Here is a 15,278-nt window from a genome sequence, read left to right on the forward strand (position 1 = left end):
GACATTTCGGTGGAATCTGTGTTATGTCTTCAAGTAGCAGTAAATAAGGTTTATAGGAAGGTCTGTTAGATATTTTGATGACCTGTATTGCTAGGCCAAAGGCTATGGATTTTGCAATGTAGGCCAGAAGTTAGCAATCTTTTCTGGCAAAGGACTCAACTACAAATATTTGAGGCTACTGCCTATGTTGCAGCTATTCAACTCTGCTGTTGGCACACAGAAAGCAGGCATAGACAAGTCATAAATGGGTGTGGCTGTGTTCCAATGAAACTTGATTTATGGACACTGAAATCTGAATGTCATATAATTTCTATGTATCATGAAATATAATTCATTTGGTTTTTTTCCTTAACCCTTTAAAATTATAAAAACCATTCTTAGCTTTTGAGCCATAGTTTGTCAACCTGTGCTCTAGGCATTCGGGAGCCATAGAAAATTCTTGCACATATGAGGGAGCTGCTCAAAAGGGTTGTCAAGGCGGGGCATGGTGGCTCTCAACTGTAATTCAGCACTGTGGGAAGCTGAGGTGGGAGGATTACTTGAGCCTAGGAGTTCGAGACCATCCTAGGCAACAAAGTGAAACCCCATTTCTTAAAAACAAAAACAAACAAAAAATACCACACACAAATTAGCTGGGGGTAGTGGGTAGTGACATGCACCTCCCGTCCCAGCCACTTGGGAGACTGAGGTAGAAGATTTGATGGTGCAGTGAGCCATGATTGAGTCACTGCACTCCAGCCTGGGTGACAAAGTGAGACCTTGTCTTAAAAAAAAAAAAAAAAAAAAAAGAAAAGGGTGGGGGGCGATTGTCAACAGTATATTAAAGAGAGCTTCATAAGAGAGAGGGAGCCCAGGTTCAGGAGGGTGTTGGTGGTTGCAGTGTGTAGTTGGAAGGAGGCCGTGGGAGTGGAAAGTGGATTTCTTCTCTTCGTCTTCTTTTTTTTTTTTTTTTAATTATTTGAGATTATGGAACTATTAGGAAGCATGGAGCTCATATTATGCGATAAGGGATTTATATTAATCTCTCAAAGCTGTGTTCTCTGATTTTCCATAGATTATACACAGACGCAAGCCTACCATCCTGTAGCGTGTGGACCTAGGGCAAAATTTTCTCATTATTTGCCGCTGCCGCCGCCTCCTCCTCCTCCTCCTCCTTTCCCCCATTAAGAAACCCAAGACTGAGCCCCATCATAGGTGAACTTTTTGTATCAGCTGTCTTGTATGTCTTGTTTCTTACTACATTTGCAGGCTAACTGTTGAAAAAACAGTATTTTGTTTGTGGGAAGAAAATCAAAGGTGATGTAAATGAAAAGTGCATTTTCATATAATGGAAATTATTAGAGGAACTTTTAAAATGTCACTGCAGATTAATGCAGACAAGGAGCTGAATATATTAGAAAGTAGGTCAAATTTTCTCATGTTTATGAATGAGGTGAATTACAGTGTAGGTTTAAGTTTATAAAATTGGGCAATACTATAGTTTATATGAAATATCCTAGCCTAAATGCTATTATACTAAAATATAATTAAAATAAATTGAGTTTGTTTCCTTATCCTTTGTGTCTGAGTATTTTATACGTAACATTTTACAAATTTAATAAACTAGTAAAAGCGATGAGCTTCTTGTTGTTATTCACATTTCCTGTATTGGACACAGAATCTACTCTAGGGAATTAAAGCTGGAGTCGATTTAATCCATGGGCAAGCGAATCAGGAATCCTTGGCAGTTTGGGAGGAACAGGCTCTGGGCTGAGCTTCCAGTCTACTCCCTATCCCCAGCACCATCTTTTCCTACCAGAACCAGGGAAGTTAGGCTGTGGCTGCTGCTATGAGAGGCTGTTGAATTGAGAATCCGGTACTTGACCTGCCAGCTCAGAACACACGCCTCCTCCATGGGGAGATCTTGCTTCTTGTGGATAACCGTGTGCTCTGCTTTTCTTCCTTGTGACTCGGTTGAACACCAGAGTCACCTATAAGCCCATGTCATTGGTGTATCTAAGTCACGTTGGACACCGTAGCAGCAAAGAGATCTGGGCAATCAATATATGATGTTTAGACCTGCAGCCTCCCCAAGCTGCAAGCGAACTACCCTTCCCATCTTCACGAAATGTCTCTTCAGATGTGCCTGGTACCACAATCAGGGGCAGAAGGGCAGTCTGTCAGAATTTCCCTTCTTTAGATACATTTCATGTGATACATTTTGATAGACTTGTCTAGAGGTAGTAGTGTTACACCAGTGTCACTAGTTAAGTAGTGTTAGTCGATAGTGCTAGTGATGACTGATAGAACTTAATAAGAAGACAGTGTTTACCATTTCAAAAAGATTTTTTTTTTGTTTTTTGAGACGGAGTCTCACTCTGTCGCCCAGGCTGGAGTGCAGTGGTGTAATCTCAGCTCACTGCAACCTCCGCCTCCCAGGTTCAAGCAATTTTCCTGCCTCAGCCTCCCATGCAGCTGGGACTATAGGCACCCACCACCATGCTTGGCTAATTTTTTTTTTTTTTTGTATTTTTAGTAGAGACAGGGTTTCCCCTGTTGGTCAGGCTGGTCTCGAATTCCTGACCTCAGGCGATCCACCCACCTCAGCCTCCCAAAGCGCTGGGATTACAGGCGTGAACCACCACGCCTGGCCCCAAAAGATATTTTTTTTAGGTTGAAATTATTGTAAATAATACCAGGAAAGGAATGCCTGTGGTTTAACAGTAAAAAAGTTTAGCGATGATAGAATCCAGCTAGGCCTAATAGTATTTGATTTCCCCCATGGAGGATGATGAGTCAGAACATGGTCCTGGTCATCCATTACTGAAGCTTTTATTGTGCTAACCCAAGTATAAGGTCAGCGATACAGCATTCCTTCACCCCAGTATTGCTGGCTGACTTCCTAACCACCAGACACTGCCTTTTTTCATCTGGATAAGTACAGTCATTCACAAGTAACTGGGAACAATACTTCAAATAGAAGGCCATTGATTTTGAAATTGGGCAGACTTGGGTTGAAGCCCTGACTCCTACCACTTTAATAGCTGTGTAGATTGTAGTGTCAGTCTTTCTATAGCTGTGTCATCTGCCGTGTAGTGTGGAGTGAAGTGAATAGCACCCTCCTCGCAGTGTTTGTTGTAAGGTGATGCTCAGCGCAGGCTTGGCACAGAGCAAGTGCTCCACGGTGGGCCACTGTTGTTGTGTGGTCCCTATCACCACCTCCGCCGCTGCCACCATCATCATCCTCCTCCTCACCATCACCACCACCGCTGCCTGTAGTCTTCCGCCCCTTCCTCATCTCCGGATGAGTTTTCCATATGGTTGGGCCACTCATGCCTCTTCACAGCAGTAATTTTCTCGCCCGTGATCCTGGGTCCCTTGGATGTTACTTCCTTTTTGAGCTTGTGGGGCTTGCTCCTGCCCTTCAAGCACCCTTGGCTTCCTATTAGACTTTCTCTTTCCTCTGGGGAAAAGATCTCTCTTCATGCTTAATAGGCATCAGAGCAGCCTTGGGTCACAGAAGTCATGGTAGCTTTCTATTTGTCATCCTGACAACAAGGCCTCTCTGAGGCTTGAAAGGATGATGCTAGCCCACCCGCACCACCTCCCTTCTTAATTAGATTACTGATTCCATTTCCCTGATGGTTTTAAGCTAAAAGAGCTTTATTCTGTTGCCTTTGGATTGTTCTTTCTTGACTCCATCTCTCCTTTGATTTGCAGCAATACCTGAAGTAAAGTGGATGACAGTAGTTGGGAGCATATTGGCTGCTATTCTTTAGCAAAGCCTCCAGAATGGGTGTATCATAATGGAGTTTAGAGAAAATATAAGGAATAATAAACGAAACGTCCAAAAGGATCCCTCCTTTCAAACTGTCATGTACCAAGTGAGTTTCTGTAGAAGGGGCCCTTTTGGTTTTTAGCTGTGATTTTGTCTTCATTCCTTAGGGTTTATTTGACCCCTGTGTGGAAAAGGCCCGATTTCCCCACTTCCCCGCTCTTTTTTGTGTGTGTGTGCACAAGTCCATGTATGTGTATGTATGCACATACACCTCTCTTTCTGAGTTCACCATCCACATGCCATGGGGAGTGCACCCACACATTAGTGGAACTGAGTCATGCTGTGGCATGCAGCAGCCAGCTGTGGTGTAACTGCTGCCTGCTTGACTGTGAACAAGTGTTTCCCTTCTTTGCTAATGTCTAACCTCAAGGACCTTGAATTTGAGCTGCCAATTATTTTATGCAGACTCTCTCTGACATTTTTGTTAGGCTTTTGCGAAGGACATGTGTTGTATCTTTAATACTTTGGCGTATCTGAAGATTTGAGTTTGTGAAATATTAAGTTGGTCTACTACCCCCATCCCCCCACCCCACCCCTGCATCTAATTGACTCTAATTGACATTCATTTATTCAACAAACATTTATTGAGCATCTACAAAGTGCCAGGCAGTCTGCTGGATGTTGGCAGCATTGTTGGAAAAGGAAAATATGTTTATATCGTTGGTGCAGAGGGTTTAAGACAGAGAGTTAGGGTTGATAAATGGATTTTGGAATATCTAATAAGGGGTGGGGGTGGTGTTAGACTTCTCCCTAAGAATAGTGGGCATCCATTATAGGATTTAAGTGTGGTGAGCTGTAGTCAGATTTGAATTTTCAGAAGTCCACTGGCTGGGATGTGGAGAGTACACTGAAGAGCGTAAGAAGAGATGTGAGGATCCTAGCTGGGAAGCTGTTGCAGGAATTTGAGCAGGAGATGATGGGATGGCAGTGTCGTAGAGTAGGAGGAAAGCACAGGTTTGAGAGTGATTTAGGAGTTAACATTGGTGTCAAGGATGACTCTCCGTTTCTGGTGTTGGGAGGTGGGTGGATTGTGAAGTTACTGAGATCAGCGACACAGGAGGGAAGCAGGTTGGGAAGACACGGGGACAAGGGAGAGGTGATGAGTTTATTTTTGAATAAGAGGAATTTGCTATGCTTGTGAAAGACCTTAGGGAGGTCGGGGGTAGACTTGGATAAGGGGTGCAAGGGAGAGATCTGGCTTCTGTGCAGAACTGGTGAATGCAAGTCCTGAGGGTACATGGGATGGACCAGCAGGAGTGGGGGACTAGGAGAGAACTTGAGGAGATTATTTCTAAACGAAGGAGAGCCTGTGGGATTAGGGGTGGAGTGGTGCTGGGGCCGGACAGAAGTCAGAGGAGGGATAAGATGGGTAATAGGAGGTCTGTTTGGGTAGAGAATTCCCGTAGGCATTGAGGCTGTGCAAGGGAGCATAGAGGCCGGGCACTAGCCTGGAGAGTTTGTGGGCTTGTGATGGTGGTGGTGGTGGGGTTACGTTAGGGATAGATGAAGAAACAAAAATGAACGTTCCCCCTGGGCCTCCTCCCTTGTCACACTGACTGTTCTATGTTACACAGCCTTAAAAAAATACTTTAAAAGGTTTTGAAACAATCACAGACTCACAGAGAAGCTGAAAATACAGCACAAAAGAAGGTTTCTGAACCATTTGATTGTAAGTTGGTGACCTAATGCACAATCACCCACCATTTCTTTTATGTTAACAGGTATTTCCTACAAAAGGATATTCTTGAACACAGCCACAGTGCAATCATCAAAATTGCTATCATCTAATTCTCAGATGCCGTTCAGGTTTTACCAAATGTCCCAGCCATGTCCTTTATAATGAAAGGGTCAAGTTCAGAGTCATGTGTTGCCTTAACTTGTCTTGTGCCGTTAGTCTCCTTCAGGCTGGAACAGTTCACAAGCCTTTCCTTGACCTTCATAACCTTGACCCTCTTGAAGGTGAAAGGCCAGTTATTTTGTAGAGTATCCCTCAGTTGAGGTTTGTGTCTTTCCACATTCTTGAATTCAGCTGATGCGTCGTTGGCGGGAATATCACAGAAGGGATACCATGTTCTTTTTGCACCGCATCATGTGGTGCCCAATCTAGATGTGTCCTGTTACCGATGGTGCCCAGCTCCTCACTTGACGGAGGTTTGACTGAGGTGGTCTTGGCTAGCTTTTGCCTCTGGAAAGGTTATTCTCTTTGTGGAGGGTCCTTTGAAACTATGTAGCTATCCCATCCCTCGTGAAAATTTCATTTTATTTATTCATTTATTTATACCAGTGTGGACTCATGTTTCATATTTTATTCATCAAGCTATAATGTTACTGTCATTATTTTGACATTCAAATTGTTCTGGATTTAGCCAGTAGGCACCCTTTCAAACTATGTGCTTTCAATCCATCTCCAACATTCTTTGAACAATTCTTTACTTTCTGGTATAATAAGACCTACCAGACTCATCTTGTACTTACCCTGCTCCAGACTTAGGAGGGGGTGCCATGGGCTCTCCCACAGAGCCCTGATTTCTTTTATTGCAAAAAAGATGATCAGAAGTCAAGATCTGAGCACTAAGTATGCTCTTTGCTATTGGATGTCGCTCATCCTAGACTACCTCAGTGGACAGAGTTAAGGAATTCCATTGATTGTTGTTATTTACAGTAATTATTTTATTACAGTAGTTATATTCTATAAAGTATCTTCAAATACTGAATTAGCACATAGCTCCTAGGAGAAATACAGGCTTGGGTTCCTGTAGGATTCTGGTCACAAAATTTTTGTCAGCCAGTCAGTACATAACCTTGTTTTATGTGTGTTTCTATTTAAAGATACCTTACTTAATATATATTGTTGATTCATTAACATTGAATTCATGGCCACCAGCCTGAACTAAGCTTATTTAACACATGCATTTTCTCTGTAAGATACATCACAGCCTCCTTCTGCTTAGGAACGCTAGACAGCACCTCGGCACTATGTTTAGGGGCCATTTTAAACAGCACAATCAACAAAAGGCAGAAGATGGAAAAAGCTTGGCACTAAATAAACTGTGAAACGGAGACGTTTAGGAGACTGAAACAAGAAAGCAGAGAGTTGCTGGGTGACCTCAGCTGGGAACATGCAAGCCTGGCAGCTCAAATGTTTTGCTGTTCTGCACTCGTCCATGAGGGACTGCAAACGTGCCAGGAGTATTGATTTTGGGGTCACAAGTAAATTTTAACATGTGGATTTGCAAATACAGGCTCTACAAATAATGAGGATCACCTGTGTATCTCTGTATGTGCACACTGCTGCAGGGCACACGCACGGGTGTGTCTAACTTGAAACCCGTGATTCACACCAATACTTCAGATTCCAGCTTAACACAATGGGCTTCCTTCTAATTTTTCCCTTTTCTGGGCCACCATGGCACCCCCTCCTGCATCCCTTCCTGGCACCTGCCTGATATTTTCCCACCTGATGGCTCTAAGCCTGAGTTTCTCAGTAAGGGAAGAGCCGTGGGCAAGAAGCAAGAGGGATGTGATTATGTCTTATGATGACATTTATGTTCTAGTGTGCTAACTTAAGATAGAGCGATATTAACATATTTATAAAGCCTCTTTATATCCTCATAATTGAAAATAATGCAAGTGTCATCAAAATTAAGAAAAAAATGTTTAAGCTGGTGAGCCCCAATGATTGAAAAAAACTGGCTTTATGCTACTGGTTTATGGCAGTACCATGCCATTTGGGAAACAGAAGCACCTGCTGTTTTCTCTAGGCTCAGGTATGGATGCTGGGTGTTGTAAGAGTGTCAGGAGTATGTCCCTGGCTGGGAGATCCACTCTTGTTGAAGTAGCCTGTTTCCCTTGATAGACAGTAGTCCCCAGAGGGCAAGGGACTGTGTCTGATTTATTCAGTACTGTGTCCCCAGGGCTTGGCATATGAAGTAACTGGTGAACATTTGGGGACTTGACCACATCCCACCAAGTGGTTGCCCAGCCTCTCTCTGAAGTCCTCTCCTTTTCCTGTAGTACCTCTTTCTTTTCAGTTGCCCTAGAATCTCCTATCCTTCCTTCCTGCAGTAAGCCTTCCAGGCCCTCACTACCCAGAGGGATCATTCTCCCACAAGTTTCTCAAGCCTTCGGAGAGATTTTATAACCTAGTAGCTAAGACCATCAGCTTTGGAGTTACCAGAGCCACATTGGGTTCCCAGCTCTACCACTGACTAGCCACATGGTCAGGAGCCTGTCCTAGAACCTTTCCCCCCAGTCAGTTTAATGATCTGTAAAATGGAGATAAGAATAATGGCTATCTCATGATTTTTGTGAGGATTAAATGAAACACCATTTTGGAAGTACTTAGGAAGTGGCTGTACATAGTGTTAGCAAAGATGTCAGTGGTGTATAATTACTATATGAGAGTGTATGTGTCATGATTTTATGTAAAGTACAATCCCTTTCCCCAACTTGATGACTTCAAATTGGGATACAGACCTTGTTTCCTACTTCTTGCTTGTATCTAAACCGCCCCCTGACCCAGCATCTACCTGCCCACCTCAGCTTAGTTCAGTGCTTTGCAGCCAGTATTAAATATATGTTGATTTGTCATTGAACAATCGTCCTTCACTCTACGATCCTTCTACCTGTATATCATCTTGCTAATAGAGCAGTTTCCTTCCCTTTTGTCAGAGTGCTGGGGAGGTGCCGATTATTTTTTCCATCCTTTCTTCTTTTTTGATTACGAATCAATATTCTGTATACCATGGTCAGTGTCACAGTCTGCTGCCTCTAGGAAATGTTGTTTTCGTTGCTTTCTCCTTAATGCAGGTGCTATCCTTGGTCCCTATTGTACTCTTAGGCTTTCTGTAGACAAAGAGGTGGCTGCAAATTTGCCCTCTGTTTTTACCCTTTCAGAACTATGACAACAAGCTCCCAGAAGTTTTAAAACACAACACATTGCTGACCTGGTTATCTTGTAGCCCTGGGGGTCTTTATGGTAAGGGCTTTTAGTAACTGGATTGGATTTTGTGAAACCATAGCAGTCTGAGATACAGTGGATAATGAGCCTGCTTGTTCGTGAGATTTTTTTTCTTGTTGTCACCAGAAAAGCAATTTGTTAAAAATAAGCCATGTTCTTTGAAATAATGTCCCCTCACTTCTTAGGGCTGACTTCTCCACTTAATAGGTGAGATCTGCTGGATTGCGTTAATCAACATCTATTCTGTCATTGCTCTGATGATTTTATGTTACGTAGAAATGTATGAAATGAACATTTGCTCTGATGCTTTAGTGCAAAAAGATCTTCCAGGCTTTATGAAATAATCTCTTTCTTAAAGATTTGTAATCCATTATCTTTGTGGTAGAACTGGAAAGGAATGCCAGAGATAGTTCACAGGATTATGTATTGTAAAACAAACAGCATTTAGGAATGTATAACTGGTAGCAGGGGATACAGGAGTAGTTAAGAGCTAGGGCAGTGTTCAGACTTCTGGGTTCAAATCCTGACCCTACCGCTTCTTAAGTAGCTCAGTGACCATGGGTAATTTATTTGTCCTCAGTTTTCTTGCCTGTGAAATGGATTTGATGGTTCAATTTTAGTATCTACCCTTATGGGCTTGTTGTAGGGTATTTGCAAGATGGATGGAATACATAGAATCAGGCATATGGTAAATACTCATTAAATGTATTTTGTTCTTTTTGATCCGTTTTGCCACTTTTATTGTAATCTGTGTTGCAGGGAGAGGGCAGAAATTAAAAATACACCTTTGTAATTATTTAGAATGGTCAACTTCTGTCCAGTTCCTAGAAAGTAGACAAACCTGTACTTAGTATATGTTGCATAGACAGGGGATCCCGTGTCCTACAAAACACACATAGAGCTCGTGTGGAGTAAATGGAACTCATGTACACTGCTGGTGAGAATGGAAAATGGTACAACCTCTTTGGGAAACAGTACGGCAGTTTCTTCCAAAAATTGATCATACACCTATCATGTGTCCCAGCGATTCTACTTGACATTTACCCAAGAGAAATATATAAGCTACATCCTTGCAAAGACTTTCACATGAACGTCAAAGGCAGGCCATTGGATACATGCACTCTTTACCGTAAGCTTTATTTGTAATAACCTCAAACTACACAAATGTCCATCCACATGTGGAAGGATCAAGAAATCATGTTATGTCCATTCAGGGGACTAAGACTAAGCATGAAAGACAAAGACAAATGATCTCTCAGCATATGCAACAAGAGGGATCAATCTCAAAATAATTATGCTAAGTAATGAAGCCAGGCCAAAAAAAAAAAAAAAGAGTGTATACTATAGAGTTCCTTTTAAATAAAATTCTGGAAAAATGCAAACTAATGATAGTGACAGGAAACAGATGAGTGATTGACAGAGGAGAGTGGAAAGCAAGAGTTGAGGGGGACCTGATTTACAAAGAGGCCTGGGAAAACTTTTGAAGCTAATGGCTGTGTTCATCATCGTGATTGTCAGGATTACAGGTGTATACAGATTCTGAAACTTATTTGTGTTCTATAAATATGTACAGTTTATTGTATATAAATTATGACTCAAAAATGAGTGCTTTTAAAAAATCAGGCTTACTGTACAAAAAACCAATAGGTTTTGCTGTGCTGCTGTAGCACAGAATTCATCAGCTGATTTCCATAAACATTTCTGAATCATTTATTAGCTATTTTGTTTTCTTTTGGAACTTGTAGTGATTTATTAGGATTTTGGGAGAACGATATGTCCAAGAGAATTTGAATTAAAAACTTTCTGTCTTCTGATCAAATCCTCTGTGGCAGGTAAGGGATTTTGTAATCACTGCATTGACTTTATAATTAGTCATTACAGCATCAACTATCCTAAAAGTTTTTGTAAACTTTCAATTTTGCTGCTTGTATATCTAAATGGCCCTCTACTCCTTTAAAAAAAATTATAGTTTTCTCACTCTTTCCTCCCTTTCCTTCTTTCTATCCCGCCACCTCTCTGCTCGAAAGAACATTCACTTCTTCGTTGTAAAAGGACTGCGAAGGAAGCCACCTTTTTTGACATGAATAGACTTATAATTAGTGCTAAAATAATTGTAATTTTTATTGAGAAAAGTTAAAACTGAGAATTGTAAAAAGTTTTAACCTAAAACATAGGCATTTACGTTTTGACCTAAAAAATATGTATGTCTTCAACATATGTCTCTGAATGTGTTTCTGATGACTTCTCCACCATCTTTCTGTCCCAATTCACTCCTGTGCTGTGGGGTGTACAGTTTTCAGTTTGAGATGGAGTTTCGCTCTGTGCAGTGGTGCCATCTTGGCTCACTGCAACCCCCGCCTCCCAGGTTCAAGCGATTCTCTAGCCTCAGCCTCCCGAGTTGCTGGGAATATAGGTGCTCACCACCACGCCTGGCTAATTTTTGTGTTTTTAGTAGAGATGGGGTTTCACCATGTTGGCCAGGTTGGTCTCGAACTCCTGACCTCAGGGGATCCGCCTGCCTCGGCTTCCCAAAGTGCTGGGATTGCAGGTGTGAGCCACCACGCCTGGCCTAGTTTGGGGTTCTTTACAGAGAAATGTGAATTTAAAAGATATTTGAAAAGTCATCTGAGAACAGGCTTCTTTATACTTAAAAAAATTCTCTCAATCTATTGACAGATGTCTGGCCCTCACCTAATTTGGCAGTAATTTTCTTTTTTAGCAATGCACACAAAGCATTGTATTGAGTTTTCATAGGAACAGCAACTCTTTCTTTTTGCACTCATACTTCTTTGGCCCATAGCATATTTAAATATGCAATTGTACAATAAATACAACTGGTCTGAACGGGTTTGAGAACACACTACTCTAGCAGGCCTACCATGTAATGGTGGGTGCAGCCCACCCACTCAGGAGTGACTTTTAATTTGGCAAATTGGTTAAGCAGAGCTTGGTTATAAGATAGTCTACTGTATATGCATCTTGTAGGAAATCAAAACACAGCAAACTAGAAACCATTTGTAAAGCCAGATCTTAAAGACAATACAATGTACTCTTAACATTTAGGTAGATTTTCTTTTAGTCTTTTATGTTCATATGCACGTGTGTATGTATGTAGTTTATATCATTTTGTATCCTGCAAACAAAGCAGTGATGGATATCTTGGAACATAAACACTCATGTTTATCTTTATTTATTTCAGTAAATTCCTAGAAATGAAATTTTCAATCAAAGGAGTCTCATCATATTTATGACCCTTGAATAATATTGCCATATTGACTGCCAAAAATATGGTGCCTCTCTGGAGGGGAGTGTGTGGGTTTCTCCATATTTCTTGCCAGCATGGTGAGTGTTCAGACTCCTGCTAAGATGATAGAGAATATCTTGTTTGGATTTGTATTTGGAGGATAACATTTTTTTTTGTATCTGTTTCCTCGCCGTTTGTATTTGTTCTTTTGTGAAATTTTTACTACTGTCCTCTAACAGTTTTGTATCATGATACTTGTTTTATTTTCTTAATAAGCTTTTAAGCTCTAAATGGTGTCTCTTTGGTACATAGTAACCTTTTGTCATTTTCTGTAAAAATATTTTCAAAGTTTATTGCTTATCTTCTGACTTAACTTTACCTTTTCACATTTTCTCTTGTGAAACCTCTTTGTGAGTTCGTCTTGCACTGTTTTTACTTAGACCTTTCCCAGTGTGACTATGATACGATAGTTGGGTTATACGAATGCCCATATGAACACTGTATATGCTCTTATGTCATGTCTGTTTTATTTGTCCTGTAGAGCCCGAGGATGTAATCATTTTTGGCTTTATAAGTTGGTATTACTGTCTGGCAAACAAGTTTCCATCTTTTCAACATTTTCTTTACTATTTTCCATACATTTTCTTCTTCTTTTTTCATGTTTTGAGAGACAGGGTCTTGCCCTGTCACCCAGTCAGGAATGTGGTGGTGTGATCATGAATCGCTGCAGCCTCAACCTCCTCGCCTCAAGTGATCCTTCTGCCTCAGCCTCCCAATGTGCTGAGATCACAGGCATGTACCACTGCACCTAGCCTATTTTCTTCTGAAATAAATATCTCTAGATGGAATGTAGCCTAGGCTCCTAGTCATGGTGTGAGTTTCTCCCCAGCTTTTGTATTCAGTGGGTAATTTCACTGGGAACCTCATGTGGAGTCAGAGAGCCTTTGCTGTCTCATCTGGACATTTGTCTCTTTGCTTCTTAACATCATTATATTCAACCTTTACTTTAAAAAAGTGTTTTTGCTACTGCTTTTTAAAAACCTAGTTTGAATTGCCTTGTTAGTCTCTTATTAGAAAGCACTTGATAAATAATAATTACTTTCTTAAATGAGCAGTGCAGAGATTACATGTTCCTGCCTGTGACTGGTGTGATCCTTCCCATCTGGCCTGGCTATGACAGAGTGGAAGGTGGTGTCTGCATGCGTGTCTTCTTGCAGGATTTTCTAATAGCTCTAATAGAAAAGGAGAGACTGCCATGCAATGCACATGTCTGTAAAACATCCCTGTTGGGGTTTGGAGTTGAATGCAGGGTTTCATGGAGCTCGGATTGTTTGGACTGTCCGTTAAAAATCACAGTGCTAGGCATTCTCAGGAGTGGGGTCAGTTGCTTTCTTTTTTGCCTGTCATCTTTATGCATTTGCAGAAATTGTACAGCAGCTGACACATGTCCAAGCAGAAGGCAGAAGTTAGCTAGGCCATGTCTGTTTTGTCACCTCTGTGTTATGGGTGAGACTAGAGGGTCTGCCTGAAGATGACCACAGTGACTTTGGCATGGGCTGCTCCTGGAACCATTCCTTGGATTCCTTGGTGATCACTTTCTGGTTTTGGCATCTCAGTCTGGCCCAGTGATACTGATGTTTTACATTCCTAATCTGTCATGGCAAGGCACTCACCTATCCTTGTTTGCACATTTATAGGGAGCTATTAGCAGACAAGAAACACGACTGTAACAGAAGCGGGGGGTACACTGGCCACTGTCACCCCCTTTCTCCAGCCTCTCTGAGCTCCCTGTGTTGGTGGTCACCACCCTGATCAGAGATGCCATCTCACAAGGCCTCATCCCCGCTTTCACCCTGCACCTCTGACTGCTAAATCAGGTGCCGTGACAGCATCTGTCTGTTTGAAGTGTCTGCTACACTGAATGGCTCTCTTTTGGAGTTTCTGTTCTTTTTGCTTGTCTTGAACTTCTAAATCAAATGCATAGAGGAGAAGGATGTTAGTGCTGAAGATGTAAAAGGAGGAATTTTCACCTTCTGATATTTAGGAGAAACATACTCTGTTGTATTTAAATTATGAAACCGGAAGCAGAACTGTAGTCTTCCAGTTAAAAAGTCCTTTCTGAAAAGAAAGAAGACTCTTGAAGGAAGCTGAGTTATCCAAGTGATTCATCATTCAGGCAATTCTTTTTTTTTTTTTTTTTGTAGAGACAGAATCTCACTATGTTGCCTGGGTTGGTCTCGAACTTCTGGGCTCAAATGATCCTCCCGCCTTGGCCTCTCAACGTGTTGAGATTACAGGCAAGAGCCACCATGCCCAGTGCCTCAGGCAATTCTTGAGATATGTGTTTGGTTTCTTCAATAACAGCCAGGTGGATCATAGTGGCCCAAGACCCTAGGAAATATTTTTAGTGTTACATGTAATTTGGAATTTAGTTTGAACATTTTCTCCTATTCTTTCATCCATTTTTGTTTAGGTATTCTGTTCAACTTCAGTGACTGTTTTCTGGTACAAGATTTGTAATGTTATTTTTACCTAATTCTTCTTTTCCCACTCCACACTCTTCCACGACAGAAAGTCTGCCTGGCGGAGGACACCTGCACTTGTTACCCTGAGTTGATTCCTGAAACTTCGGACCCCTGGGTATTAACAGAGGACTCAGTGGGAGCTCCTGGTCAGAGGACTTGGATGTTGTCATTGTGAGTTGTTTGTATGTTAAAGGTCTTCTGCGTGTGTTTTGGGGAGGTGATCATGACACACAGATTTCCACTAAAGCTCTGGGTACCAGCTAGGTACACTAATACACTGATGAGGGCCTGCGTCTCTGTCCATCCCCTGGAGGAAGGAATGACAGAGTCAGCAGAGCTGAGTGAGTCAGACCTTTGATGATTTCCTTCTTAAAAATGCTTTTTGTTACTATGAAGGTGGTTGATTCCTCAAGCCTAGAGAATTTGCAGATGTGTAAGGGTTTTCTGAAGCTCTCCAGTTTGTTTCTCCTGATGTGTAGGTTTTTAGAGTGAAATATTGTACTGGAGATGTTGAAAACCTTTTCTGGCTTTAAGTGTACAGAACAAAGGTTCAGTTAGAAAATGTGCATTGTTAAAATGGCTTTCCTTCTTGAGTTGCTGTTAATGTTATAAACTAAACTCACACCATATAAACTAGTTTACGGGACTGAATACTTGTGCCTTTCATTTTTGCAGAATAAGCTGGAAAGCAAATCAGCATTTCTGTCTGTGGCCTATACTATGCCCTGTTTT

General features: G+C 41.6%; 1 protein-coding gene across 2 annotated transcripts in view; it reads left to right on the plus strand.

Annotated features, from left to right (window-relative positions):
* Positions 1-15,278, plus strand: part of TLN2 (talin 2) — a 454,082-nt gene that overhangs the window by 213,209 nt on the left and 225,595 nt on the right. Inside the window, exon 3 of one of the 2 annotated variants that reach the window (NM_015059.3) lies at positions 14,593-14,717. The exons of the other annotated variant lie outside the window; for it this stretch is intronic. The gene's annotated coding sequence lies outside the window, so the exon portion shown is untranslated. The remainder of the gene's footprint in view (positions 1-14,592; positions 14,718-15,278) is intronic. 2 annotated transcript variants of the gene reach the window in all.

The sequence above is a fragment of the Homo sapiens genome, chromosome 15 (genome assembly GCF_000001405.40).
Source record: "Homo sapiens chromosome 15, GRCh38.p14 Primary Assembly".
NCBI lineage: Eukaryota > Metazoa > Chordata > Mammalia > Primates > Hominidae > Homo > Homo sapiens.